At 33.7% G+C, this 14,573-nt stretch overlaps 1 protein-coding gene across 8 annotated transcripts in view; it reads left to right on the plus strand.

Annotated features, from left to right (window-relative positions):
• COL19A1 (collagen type XIX alpha 1 chain) overlaps window positions 1-14,573 on the plus strand; it is a 345,913-nt gene that overhangs the window by 60,297 nt on the left and 271,043 nt on the right. For 5 of the 8 annotated variants that reach the window (NM_001858.6, XM_011535437.3, XM_017010253.2 and 2 more), the window contains exons 5-9: window positions 1,057-1,180; window positions 2,573-2,848; window positions 5,931-6,011; window positions 9,933-10,058; window positions 11,186-11,248. In NM_001858.6, coding sequence (NP_001849.2) covers window positions 1,057-1,180; window positions 2,573-2,848; window positions 5,931-6,011; window positions 9,933-10,058; window positions 11,186-11,248 — 670 coding nt within the window. The remainder of the gene's footprint in view (window positions 1-1,056; window positions 1,181-2,572; window positions 2,849-5,930; window positions 6,012-9,932; window positions 10,059-11,185; window positions 11,249-14,573) is intronic. The other 3 variants (XM_047418188.1, XM_017010257.2, XM_047418187.1) reach the window with 1 other exon arrangement.

The raw sequence follows: 14,573 nt of genomic DNA on the forward strand, positions 1-14,573 counted from the left end.
TTTTACAGCAGCAAGAGAGAAGTAGTTAACCAAAACAGAAAACAAGAAGTTCTCAATATGAGTAAGCTGACTTCTCATCAGAAACCATGGAGACCAGAAGGCAGTGGGATGACATAGTCAACGTTTTGAAGGAAAAAGACTGTAAATCAAGAATTCTATATCCAGCAAAACTATCCTTCAAAACTGAAGGTGAAATTAAGGATTAAAAAAACCCAGAATTTGAGACTAGCACATCTGCCCTATAAGAAATAGGAAGGAAATTCCTTTAGGCTGAATGAAAGGAAACTAGACAGTAACTCAAATCCAAACAATGACATAAAAAGCACTGGAATAGTTAATTACATAGATAAATATAAAAGCCAGAATAAATGTACTTAGTTTGTGTTTCTTTTATTTTCTTATCAGATTTAAAATACAGTTGTATAAATACATACATACATAAAGCAATATTAGAAATCTTCATTGATGGGAATATAAAATATAAAGATGTGATTTATTTGTATGACAATAGCACAAAGCAAGAAAAAGCTAACAGGTATATAGAAGCAAAGTGAAAAATAAAGCTAAAATATCCATGTTATATTTAGCATGGTCTTCAGTTGGGACTAAGAAATCAGTATTAGGAACTCATTTGCAAGAATTTAATATGAAAAAGTTTCTTTGGAAAATATTTGTTTACTTATTACTGGTGTTCTTTAAAATTCTCTGTACCTCTCTCTACTAACAAAATCAAGTCATACCATTTTATTTCCTTGATAAATCTCTACTGTTTGTCAGACTGCAGTGAATTCTGAGATTTTCTTCTGTTCAATATCTTGTTGAATAAGGAAATGTCACAATTTAATACTGTAATCTCTTCACTCATTTTTATACACTCCAAACTTTAACAACACTGTACCAGAAGATTTTTTAAAAGGAAAGAGAAAAGTGCATAAGTTACACATTTACTGAGAAAAATATGACTGAGATATTGTGTTACACAGAACTTTATACCTAGATTTTATTTTCTTGCAATCTCCAGTTTCCCCACAAAAGTTCTTTGTTTTCCTCCCACAGTAAGATATTTCCCAAAGGCCTTCCTGAGGAGTACTCAGTAGCTGCCATGTTTCGAGTACGAAGAAACGCCAAAAAGGAACGGTGGTTTCTGTGGCAGGTTTTAAACCAGCAGAATATTCCACAGGTAAAGTACCATTAGAGTTGTGCTCATTAGTTTTCCTTGTGTAATTAAGCCAGGTGAATTATTTGAACTGGTGCACAAATTTGCGAGTAGATCTAGTATCCAAATGTTCTATCCTTTAGAGGGATCATCAACAAGAAAATGCAAGTATTCTCGTAGTTAGGATGGCCTTGCTGAGATCCATAATATGAGAGTATAGTGGTAAACATAGTGTTAGTTTTTGTTTTTATTTTACTTCTAGGTCCATATTTTGTTTAAAGATGTAAAACTGCCTTCTCTTTACAACTGCTTCATTAACTAATTCTTTCTAAGTAACACATTCTTCATCTTCCTTCTGTCGTCTCTAATGTTATATATTATTTTTAAAGCAGTTTATCATTTCATTGGACAACTCTTGGTGAATAAAGAGTTGAGACTTAAATATTTATCCCATCAATAAAAATTTATGGAACACATACTATATACTAGGTAGTGACAAGAAAAGAGATCTGAAAAACAGAATTTGTATTATCAGGGAGCATAAGGCGTAAGGAGATGACATCTAGGAGAACAACATAATATAGCATAATTATGTTGAACAAGTGCAGTGGTAGAGTTAAGCTTAGTGTTGGGTGTGGACAATGGGAGCACCGAAAGGGCAGCTCATCGGAATTGGGGGATGGAGAGAGCAGGAATCTAGGAGAGCATATAGAAGAGATGGCGTTTGGGCTGCAAAGAAGGAATGCTGGCACTCCAGCGAGGGGAGAGGAACCTCAAAATTACTTGTTGGCACCATACATTAGTTTTTACTTGTGTACATATCCGTTGAAATGTTTTAAATCATCACTGATCTTTTAATCTGTTAATACAGCTACAATTTTATGATGAGTAGATCAACCAAGAGTATGTCCTCTATAAAATGTGTTTTCTCTGTACCTTGCAAAGTATCAATGGTGAAAGAATTGATCTTAGCTTCCCTACTTAGGGAAATGATCACATTCTTAGTCTTCTTAAATTGGTAACCTTAAATTCCTGTGTTACTAATACAGAGCAATAATTTATATATCTTATAAAATTTTATCTATAGTGTATATAAATTATGTATATATAAACTTATAAATGGTTTATATAAACATTTAAAATAACTACACACACACACACACACACACACACTCTTAGATGTTCTCTTAGGAAGGAGCATATTACATTCACCAGAATGCCCCATTTCTAAACCATTTTTGTAGTGGTGTTTGCTGTTCTTTTATTTTAACAAACCTGGTGGACACAAGTGTCATCTAAAATATTTTACTAAGTGCCTCAGTTATACTAATATGCATCTTGAGCTTTTCTTTGTGTGCTTTAATAATTTTGAACATTGATTTTTAAAACATTTAAAGATACTTTACATTTTTGCAGATTTCTATAGTAGTTGATGGTGGAAAGAAGGTGGTGGAATTTATGTTTCAAGCCACAGAGGGAGATGTGTTGAACTACATTTTTAGAAATCGAGAACTCCGTCCTTTGTTTGATCGTCAGTGGCACAAACTTGGCATTAGTATACAATCCCAGGTCATTTCACTTTATATGGATTGTAATTTAATTGCGAGGAGGCAGACTGATGAAAAGGACACTGTGGATTTCCATGGACGGACAGTTATTGCTACGCGAGCTTCAGATGGCAAGCCTGTGGATGTAAGTTGTGATGTTAGTTGTGAAAGAGAACTAAAATTTCTAAGTAAAAAAAAAATCTTATTAAAAACATTCTTCTTTTATTACTGTGTAATAGATTCCCTTCTCATCAATTTTATTAATTTAATTAATTTGCCGTCAGATGTGTGAAGAACAGCTATGTTATTTCCAATTGTATTTTCACATGTATTATTTTCACTCCATTTTATACCCATTTTCTCCAGCCTGGGAATTTAAAATAATTAGGTCATGCCTTAAAAAATTAGATTATTAAAAGTAAAAATTGAAAATATGATACAAAATATAAACTTGGTCTAAGTTCATATGTTTTAAATAGAAAGGGCTGGAAAAAGCTGAAGTTCAAATTAAATGGTTCCAGGTTATCTGCTATTTTCATTCAAGAACAATAGACTATTCATCCTTACAATAGCAATTACTTTGTATTGCAGACTATTTTTTATAAGCGTATAATGGTTTTTCAGGGTTCTATTGTACAGAAAAATTCACTAAATGTATTAGTAGGTCATTTGAAAGAGAAAAATTGCCTAGTAAAACCCTTTTGGATAAAAAGTTACTTTAAATATTACATTTGAAGCTAACATGATATAGATTTATTATTGATTTCCCTAGAGAACAAGGTCTGTAATCTTAAAAAAGTTAGATATATCTAAATTTGATGGCTGCACGTTTTCTTAGTTTATTATGTATAAACAGTTTATAGTTTATTTCTTAGAGTTTTTGCAAGAATGAGATCCAGTCTTGGACCTCAATCTAAGAAGATTGAGTGTTCTATGTCCTGTGTCTCATTAACTTCTCACCCAAGGATAGAATTGATCCCGGGCTAGGCGCAGTGGCTCATGCCTGTAATCCCAGCACTTTGGGAGGCCGAGGTGGGCAGATGACGAGGTCAGGAGATCGAGACCATCCTGGCTAACATGGTGAAACCCTGTCTCTACTAAAAATACAAAAAATTAGCCAGATGTGGTGGCACACGCCTGTAATCCCAGCTACTCGGGAGGCTGAGGCAGGAGGGGGAGGTTACAATGAGCCAAGATCATGCCACTGCACTCCAGCTTGAGCGACAGAGCAAGACTTTGTCTCAAAAAACAAAAAACAAACAAACAAACAAAAGAATTGATCCCACAATTTGAGGCTAAAGAATATCACGTGAATCCTTATAAAAAGGATATAGGTAAAAACCGTGGTATTACAGTGGTTTCATAATTTCATGTGGATTCTTGGTTCATTTGAGGATAAACTTGAAGGCATGTCACAATGATGCAATATTTTTGGAGATAGTCACTGTTTGAGTTAAACAAACAAAATACATATTTTTATAAAAGATTCTTGGTTCTACTGAAACTTTGAATGGATTAATTTTTCATCATCTCTGTACAAGCTCTGTGATTCATAAGATCTGTTATGGTGTGAAAATGTGTTTATTTGGGCTGTGTGTTATTGAAAAAAATTATCATGATTTAGTTTTATTTCACCTATCCCACCTGTGTATTTTTGTGAGAAAGTGACAAAACTGATATGAAGATTTTTTTTTAAATCAACTCAGCATTTTGACAAGCATCAGTACAGATTTAGCCTTAAGCATTCTCCTTCTAAAGCACTATATCAGTGAAGCATTCTAAAGTAATGAATGAATAAACAAAGCATAAACTATTCTGACTGTCATTTCAATGTCATGGAACTCAATCAGGTTGTAATCCTTTGAAAATTGATCATCTATCTTTAGTTAAGTAAAACAATTCATAAGCAGGACCTGGTACAATGGATGGTACATAATAGGATTTCAATATTTATTGACTATTTTGATAACAGTGATAATAAAAAAGTTTAGTTAAGAACAATATTAATTAACTAGAGTTCTCATTCTTCATTCTAAATAATTCATATGTTACTGCTGGTATTTCATTATACTATGTAAGACGGTGTATTTAAATTTTATAAATAAAAATTAACCTTAATAACCTTGCAAAAAGTTACAGAACATAAATCATTACATTTCATTTAGTCTCATGATTTTGCATTTTCTGCAAATCTTAGGCTGCTCATGAATCTGTAAGATGTCTGGAGTTGTTAACGCATTCTATGAACTGCATTGATTTTGTTCATCTGAGGCGAAAAGTAAAAGTTATAGATTTTTCCCCCCTTTTTGCTTTTAAAGTTGGAGTAGAGATTCACCTCTAATCACAAATGCCTGCTTTCTATTATTATAAGATTAATTATTATAAGATTAGAGTTGGGTCTTTCTGTATAAAGTACTTATTGACCTCAAAATAATGCATTATTTAATACATTTCAGTGCTTAAAGAATTCAAACAGCCTATTTAAGAATTTATTATATTGCTATTTTATCAATAATCAGTACTATTTACTTTTTCTTAGGTGTTGATTTCATCTTGCATTTAAAGGCATGATTTTACTTTCCTTGAACTACAGTTAATTTCATGTCCAAATGCCAAAAAAAGAGAAATCTGCTAAGCAAATAGAAGGAATCAATTATTTTTGTAAAAAGGTTGTTAGCCCTGCTTAGATTATACCAATATAATATAAAATCAATAGGTTTTAGGCAGAATTCGTGAAATATAGATAAAAAATTTTTTTTCCTTGTTGGTAAGTGAACACCTATTTCAGTGCCTCAAATAGGAGTCTGGAAGTACAAATAAAGCCTTTCTCATCATGTGCTCATATCTTTGATTTTACCTTTTCTCCAATTTTTTTTTTATTTTGAAATGGCCTCATTTTGTGGGCATTCTTTACTGTAGTGTAAAACAATAGCTTTTTTAAAATTAAGTACTTCTATTTTATTGTTTGAAACAGCTAGCCAAGGTTTGCAATTGCTTTCATTACCTGATTTCCTTTATCTATAGATCCATCTCTATATCCAACTCTATGTCTCTCAAGTAGTCCACAAAACAATGAATCCTACATTTAATAAAAACATTAAAATATCCACCAGTAATTTATTTATATTAGCTTCCTTTTTCTTTCTGATTAAATTACTGTAGTTCTTAACTGCCTGAATGTGATTCCAAAAAACTAAAGATGTTTCTTATTACTAATTTTTTCATAGATTGAACTTCACCAACTTAAAATCTACTGCAGTGCAAACCTCATAGCTCAAGAAACATGTTGTGAAATATCAGATACTAAGGTAAGTTAATTTTCTTTGCATATGAAGAATGAAGAACGCCAATTATCTTTTAGTGGCATAGTTTGTAGAGTCCAAATGTAGGGTAGCACTGAGTGTGTTCTGTTGAAGCCAGGTGGGTAATTTATTCCTAGTAAGGAAGCATTCATAGTGCTTTCTCATGGTTACTTTCAACAGTTTTAATCCCAGCATTTCACCCTTAATTTTGAGGGTAATATATACTCACTTTGAACTCAGTATAACTTAAAGTTATGCCTTTCTTCCTAAACTATGTTCTGACAGCAGCATCATTTCCAGTTACAGAAGTTTTAAATCTGTGATCATACTTTATTCTCACTCATTTTCCTTTTCTACCCTGTCACCCATCCTGGCTAGCTTTCCTTTGACATAGACTTTTCATCCTTATCTTCCATTTTCCTGTTACTGCCAAAGTGTACATTTACCTCGTGTCTGGGATATCAATCATTATTGGATCAACTGCCTTCCCTATGTCCTGCCCCTTTGCTTTGCAGCATAACCAGAATAAGTCTGAGTCACTGCTTTGTATATTCATTCACTCTCTTCCAGCAAACACTTTATTCAGAAACACTGACCTTCTAAACACTGTGCTAAGGAACAGGGCTAACAAACATGATTAAGGCACATTCCCTGCCCTCTCTTCATGTCTTTCTCTTAAGTGACTCCTGTTGGAAGTGAAATATAAATGCAGTTTCTCAGCCTCTCATTCTAAATATTCCCAACCTAACCATACAACTGTTACTTACTTATACCAATCTTTCATTACAAGAAAAATACTAAATTCAATACTTTCTGTATCTCTCAGTGTAATGGCCGTGTGTGCTATCTTATATTACTAGGTGTAACTATATTTGTTTTTAAATTGATTTAAGTACAATTCAGACTCAGTAAGGGAAGTTTTACCTTGATAAACTTTTTTATTCCTAATGCTTCATTTGGAAAAAGTAGACAATCATTGTTTGATTTATTGACTTACCAATTACTAAAAAAGATAAATGGGACAGAAAGATATTCAAAGGGGACTGGTTCTAAAAAAAAGTACAGAAAGAGCATATGAAAAGTGCAAGTAAAAGGTGAAAATGTCTTTTCTTTGGATCTTAGATTTCATAAATGTTCTATACTTGCCATAGAAAATTATATGAAAATTTTATCAACAATTTATGATTCAAAAATATTTTTGACTTTTGTAGCTCACTTTGGGTAGTGAAATAAGAATGTGACCAAAGCATAGCTTAAAGCATAGCTTTAGTGACTTAAAGCATAGCTAAGTCTTTCAAGTATTATATGTTTTGCTTTTGTAACTTGGCTTTATAAAGCATATCTCCAATCCACTTCATGTATCTCATTCCAAGTAAAATGCCAGCCAGCCAAATATCTTTCTATAAATATCTGAAAAGATAATTTAGAATGCCAATCTACAGACTTGAAATACCTAGACTTCCTGGAGCTACACATTTAAATCTTAAAGATGTTAATTCCCCCAAAATTTTGTTTTTAATTATGCTTTTTTGATGTCAGAGTTTTTAAAGTAATAACTTTCTCTGGTTGTAAAGTAATATAATGATATTTTGATATATCTGAATATTATATAATTAGCCAGTAATCACTGCCCTTTATCATTATATTAATGTAATAGAAACTTTCCACCTGATTTATGAGGAAATTGTTTAAGAAGTATAGGTGATGAATTGGGTGGAATGGTTGGTAATTCAAAGCAGTGACATGATCTCACACATTATGAACAAAAGATTTTTAAATCATATTTTGAAAAGATTATTTGGGAGTTAGTTTTAAAGAATAGAACACAAGGTAGGAATTTATCTCTGACTATGGAAAAAATAAGGAAAGACTGTATTTTTGCTGACAATTATTTGGAGGGGATATCACCATTCATTTAATGACTAACAAAAAATAGAAACATACTACATTTTATGAATAGGAATGTACAGTTGGAAGGATAAATAATTATATAAAAGCCATTTAAATGCATCTGCTCTACTTCCAATACGAATTGTATTTATTTTCTTTTTTGTTGCAAAATGTTTTGAACTCAGAAATTTTTAATGTAGTTGCTTAAATATCTAATTTTGTCCTGGAATTTCAAATCACACATGTTTTCTGGTTGTCAATATTTTATAAAGCATTTCAAAGGCAACATTTTTTAAAGATCACCTATAAAGATGCTTCTTTGTTTCTATTGGATTTTCAGTTTCTAAAGTAGTTAAGTTTCATGACTCTAGATATAAAAAGAATGAAGAACAAATATTAAGAGAAGGATGAAATCAGTAACATTTGTTGAAAATAAATGAGAAATGTGGTTAAATTTTTAAGGGCTAATACTGAATATGTGTCAAATCAAAACCAGAGGTTTTACGAGGAGAAGAGTCCTTACTTGTATGTTTGGTGTTGCCTCTAGGCACTTTTTGTGGAGTGTGGACAGGTTTATGGTGAAGCCTGAGACATACTTTTAAAGTTATTTAAATCCTCAATTTAATATAGTGACTCAGTTATCCAGAGCAGAATTGTGAATTCTAAGTGGGTCTTGGTTATCTGACTGGAAAGCCATGAGGTAAGAACTGGCTGAAACATCATATCAAATCAAATGAGATGAATGAACTGTTTTGGTAATAACCTTGTTCCATTCAAATATACAATAGTTTTTAGACTTTCAAATTTGGGAACTTGTTAGGATAAATAATCCTGAAATCTGGAGAGAGTAGATTTGAAAGAACTAGTGGTGGATACAGTAAACTAGTTGCTGTATTTCTGGGTGTTGGTTTTGTTACAGTTTTTATTGTAATTATCAAAGAATTCAACTACTACCAAGTTTTTTTTTTTATTTCTTATTTCCAACTTTTATTTTAAGTTCAGGGGTACATTTGCAGGATGTGCAGGTTTGTTACATAGGTAAACGTGTGCCATGATGGTTTCCTGCACAGATCATCAAAATGAATTTTTGTTACAAAACTTATCTATGTTTACTGGAAAATATAGCCAAATCCATAAAAGAAAATAAATATCAATCATGATTTCAACCACAGTAGAAAACCACAGATAATATTTTAGTTTTGTATCCTGAAAATACTTTACCATGCATTTATAATTTGTGGTATACAAAGTAATGTATTAACTCTCTCCTAGTGCTTTCTCTTCGTGAAATTGCAAATTCAGAGTGGAAAACTATGGTGAGAAGTCTGGTACATGATGTTGAGAAAAAACAATGTGTTTATCCTCCTCAGATTCTCCATTTGGGTTAATTTTTTAAAAAATGTTCGTTGCTTTGTAACCAAATTGCACTTCACTTTGTCCAGCATGCTCTGAACCCACTGGATAAGTATAAAATGCACTACTTGTCTGTTGTAGTGGAGACCTTTTTAATATCTTTAAGGAACAGTAGACTAGAACAAAGTATACTTTGATTTAATAAATGTTGTCTAAGAGTGTAAAAAGAATTTATTTTCTACTTTATATGCTTTAATAATCATCTTGTTGAAGGAAACCATATTTTATAGGTTCAAATTACATGTTTCAACTTTAATTTTTGTTCCCAAAAGATGTATTCACATGTTGTTTGTACAAATTATTTTATTGCAACAATACAATTATTATAAATGTATGAAATTTCTGTACTTATCAAAAAGTTACCTAATGTAACTTTGTAATTCCTTACCAAGACCATTATTTTAAATATTTTTCTTGCATGTTGTCAGTATAAGAAAACCCATGGGCTCAGGCGGAAAGTGCAAAAGTGTGATAAACATTCTCACACTGGTGTTAACTTTTGGTTAGTAAGAAGCAGTTCTTGCAGGCAACCTCAGCAATCCCTAGTTTAGTGGGAGCCAGTGTTTGGAACATGAGAATGTTTGGAATTGACCCCATTTCCTAAAGCCTCTTTTTGGATTTTAGTGCCCAGAGCAGGATGGCTTTGGAAATATTGCATCATCATGGGTAACTGCTCATGCCAGTAAAATGTCTTCATATCTGCCAGCAAAGCAGGAACTTAAAGACCAGTGCCAGTGCATTCCAAACAAGGTATGCTAGTTTTAATTGGTGCACACTGAAAGCCACTCCAGACTATGAGCCCAGCTCCTTGAATGTGGCCTCTGTTCACAGAATGTGTCTTGCCATTCAGTGTTTGTTGAAGTAAATACCTCAGTTACTGGGGTGGGTTAAGAAAAAGGCATTGAAGATAGGACTTCCTGGATTCTTACCTGGATAGTTTCAAGCCCATCTGAACTTCCTTCCAGGGTGTGAACTAGAATGAATAGAAAAGTGAAGGGAGGAACTACCTGTACAACAGGCAAGTACTGAGTACTTAGCATGTGCCAGGAATAGGCTGAAGTTCTGGGAATTCACAGTTGAAGAAAACACAGTGCCTGCTCTTCAAAAACATACACAAAAATACTCTACATTGTATTTCTTTTTCTGTATAGACTGTGTTTTTCCAGCATCCCTAAATTTTCAACTGGCTGTCTCCATCCACCATAAGTTATTAGGGGAATATACAGAGGGGCTCTGTTGTTACTCAAATAATTTGTTTCATCTGCACCAATATGATCCCCTGGTCAAGAAGGCTGTGCCATGGACCTTTATGAACTTCCTTTATGGATGTTAATGGCAGTAATAAAGCCTGTGCTAAAAGGCTGAGTGGTGTCTTGGTGGCTTTTTCCAGTGCCCATACCTGAGGAAAGGAGAACTTGCCCCAGTTTCTAGAGCAGAGTGTGCCCTAGCACTGTGACTTAAAACATGTCATCGACTTACTCATCCACCACCACTTCAACTCCTGGCTGAGCCAGATGGGGATGGGGTGAAAGTTTAAGGGAAACTTTCATTTTTTCTAGTGGCCAATATTGCATAGTAAGCTCTACGAGAAAGGCAAGGTTCGGGGGTCCATAGAGAAACAGCTTGTGTTCCAGCTCATGGAAGGTCTGGAGGAGATGATGCTAAATGGTGTTTGGAAGAGTGAGGAACAGTGAATGGAATTCCATTGGCATGCCCTTTTTCCCTTGTTCACGTGGCTCACTATTCCTCACTCTAAGCATCAGCTCAGAGGAGAACAAAGCGTTATCTTGCTAGTGCCAGCTTCACATTTATAAACCATTTGGCTTTAGATCAATGTGACAGAATGTTTGCTAACACAGATATGCATTTTTGCTCAGGGAGAAGCAGGATTACCAGGAGCTCCGGGTTCACCTGGGCAGAAAGGGCATAAAGGAGAGCCGGTAAGAAAAAAACAAATACTGATGGAGAAAACAGGGTTTTGTTAAAAAATGACTTAAAAATGTGTTCATCTCATTTTTCTTTATTCTGTACAAATATATGTTTCTATAAAAGGCTATCAAAGACTATATTAAAATGCTGATTACTGAAATAGAGACTATCAGCATTCTAGTCAGCTTTTGAATTCATATTGGTAGGCTGGTGTGAACTTTGGAAAGATCTGGAACTGCAAGTCTTTGTACCTATAAGCTCTAGCAAAACTGTGAAGCAGAAAAGTCTATTTTCTAGCTGTGCCCTAGCCTTCTTTAGCATTCCCTTCCCCAAATCCCTGTTGAATTCTTGCTTCTCTTGTCTTTTGATACATCCCCACCAGAGATTTTTCTGTAGCTCTCTACCTTTTTTTTTTAAACGGCCAACTTTTTTTGAATACTTTCTGTGTATGAGGTATGTTGCTTGGTGTTGTAGAGCACATAAAGACAAATAGGATATATTCCCTGTTCTCAATGATTTTACATCTAGAAAGAGATCGTGGAAAATTACAAGGCCATATGTGTTAGGTGCTGTAGGAGAGTTGCAAGTGTCCTGGAGAAATGATCTGGGGAGCTAGGGAGGATTTAATGGAGGAATGGCCAGTGGACTGGACCTCTAAGTGTGTAATTCTAGGCTATATCCCATGCTTAGAGATTTGTCTTTCCCTTCTCCCATGACTCAAAACTTAACTGTAATGTTTCTGACTCTTTTGAGTATATCTTTTGTCAGCTAATCAGGTAAATGAATGAGCACTGTTAGAAGTTGATTCTGTTTTTATTATCTCTCCAAGGTAAAATAGATTTTAATTCCTTTCCTGCCTTAACTTGGGAAGTCCATGATTCTAAATTATTTGTATAATCTATTGCTCCCCCCGCTTTAAAAAGACAGGAGACGGAAGTCTGAGAAATGACTGATCCCTCAAAGCTTCAACAAAGCTAAAGTCATTTGATTCCTGAAGGAATGTATTCCCATGTACCTTGCATGGGAACTTCTGACAACTCAGCAGGTGTTTGAAAAAGATTTTTGAGGAGGGACAGGCCATTTATTATTGCTCTTTAAAATGCATTGCTTGGGGTACCTTTACTTTCAATATCATTTTATGAAAATTCAAAATAATTGAACAATATCTGATTCTAAAGACCACTTCAATCAAACTAAACATACAAATCATTATACCAATAGCAAGTATTTGTTTCATGGTTACATGTACCAGACACTGAGAAGAATGTTTTAGATATGTTATCATACTTGATCCTTACACTCACTCTTCATGTTAGGGATTAGTATTAGCATTTTACAGATGGAAAAACTGAAGCTTAGGGGGGTTAAATTATTGCCCAGTGCCACATAGCTTGTGGCCAAACTGGGATCTGAAACCAGTAGGTCTGTTGACTACTCATGACCAGTATCCATTTTTAAGGCTGCCACTATGTTCTAAAAGCAATTCAGTATTATGTATCTGTGTTCTTTGATCAGGTACTTCCACTTGCGATATTTTACTCTTAAAACATCATTTAAAGATGCCAGCCTAGTGTCTCTATCCTCATTTTACAGCTGAGAGCCACACATAGGTAAATTGATGTGCCCAAGGTAACACAATTAAGAGGACTCAGAAAGTGGAAAGATCTCTGAGTTAATCCCAACTCTTCTCTGGTTAGAGGGTGAATTTGGCCAAGCCACTCAGACTCTCCATACATAAGTTTTCTTATCTGCAACGGAAGGTGTTCTCACTTATCTGTTATACCTATACTATAAAGTGACACCAAAATGCCTTGAAAAAAATGCATGTGGCTTAATTTTTGGTGACTGTGATTTATACACGTTCACATACACATTTCTTAACTTGTCTTTTCACTTCTTTGATTTATCAGTTCCTTCATATTTAAGATTGCTGGCACAGGAAGAAATTTCATGTGTTGCTTTTAGGAAAAATACCCTGCCCACTGAAAAAAAAAAATCTATGTCATAAGTACAGTCCTATTTGAATAATTATTTTAAAAATCGTTAAATCTACTTTAAATTCTTTTTTAAAGATTAAGTGCTTAGTCACTGTTGTTAGAGCCTATACCTTTTAAGGATGCATTTTCCCCCTCGATTCCCTTTAATCATAAATAGACATCTCTCACTTTAACATTTAAATATTTATTTTTCTTTATTCATTCATCCATCAACACCTATTTATTGAGCTCCTGCTATTATAATAAAAAATGTGCCAGACTTTGGAGCCTTAGCAGTAATAATAAAATACAGGGCCTGCTCTCACCGAGTTTACAATCTTGTGACAGTTTGTTCACAGAACATTCTCTCCTTCTATAGAAACTAAAACCAGTAGAAAAGAACTAGGAAAAATTAATAAAAATGGATAAATATTAGCCAATTTATTGTATGTCAAATCTATAAAATATACAAAAATGTATCTTAGAGTAACAATGCATTATATGACTTCTCATCTGCAGTATGTTTTAAGAATATTAACATTTGTTTTAAATTCCATGATAATTCATAATGGCAAGAGATTTTAGTGGCAACGTAAAAACAGCTGCAATAAAGGAAATTTATAATCTACACAACGAATAACTAATCTGTGTATTTCCCTTATCTTTTCAATACATGCACCCACATTTGCTTAAACCAACATATGCTCTGCCTTGTAAAAATGACATTAGATGACCATGACCATGAATGCATTCAACCTTCCTGGCACTTGAAATAAACATGGATGTATTGTTTCATTTTAAGGAATGGAGGGTGGGTTTATTTCTGCTCCTATTGCACTATGTGATCTTGCAACTTTAATGTGCAATAAATAAAGAAGGCTTTCCTTCATTTTTGATTCTGGCATGTAATTGTCATTATTAGAGCAGGTGCACAAAATAATGCCTACATAACTTGAAGATCGAAAGTCATTTTTGCTCTAAGGCATATTCAGTAGTAAATTTTGTGAAATGATCAGAAGTGCAATGTTACTAAGGGAATCAGATGTTGTTCTAAAGGTTTTCTTTTTGATCTGTAAGCCCAAGAAGGAATATTTAGAGGAGGTAGAACAGTATGTTGGAAAGAGTACCACTTTGGAGCCTGAACCACTTAGGATTGAATCCTCTCCACCTCTTACTTGCTTTGAAAATTATCCTTAATAATACCTAGCCAGTGGTTGATTGTGAAGAAGGAATACAATACAATATATACACAGCACTTAGAAACTGGCATATTATAGATATTCAACAAATATATGTTTCCCCTGCTTTCTTATCCACCATATAATTGTCCATATATTGAAGGAGAGGTGGAGATAACTAT

Source organism: Homo sapiens, chromosome 6 (genome assembly GCF_000001405.40).
Source record: "Homo sapiens chromosome 6, GRCh38.p14 Primary Assembly".
Classification (NCBI taxonomy): Eukaryota; Metazoa; Chordata; class Mammalia; order Primates; family Hominidae; genus Homo; species Homo sapiens.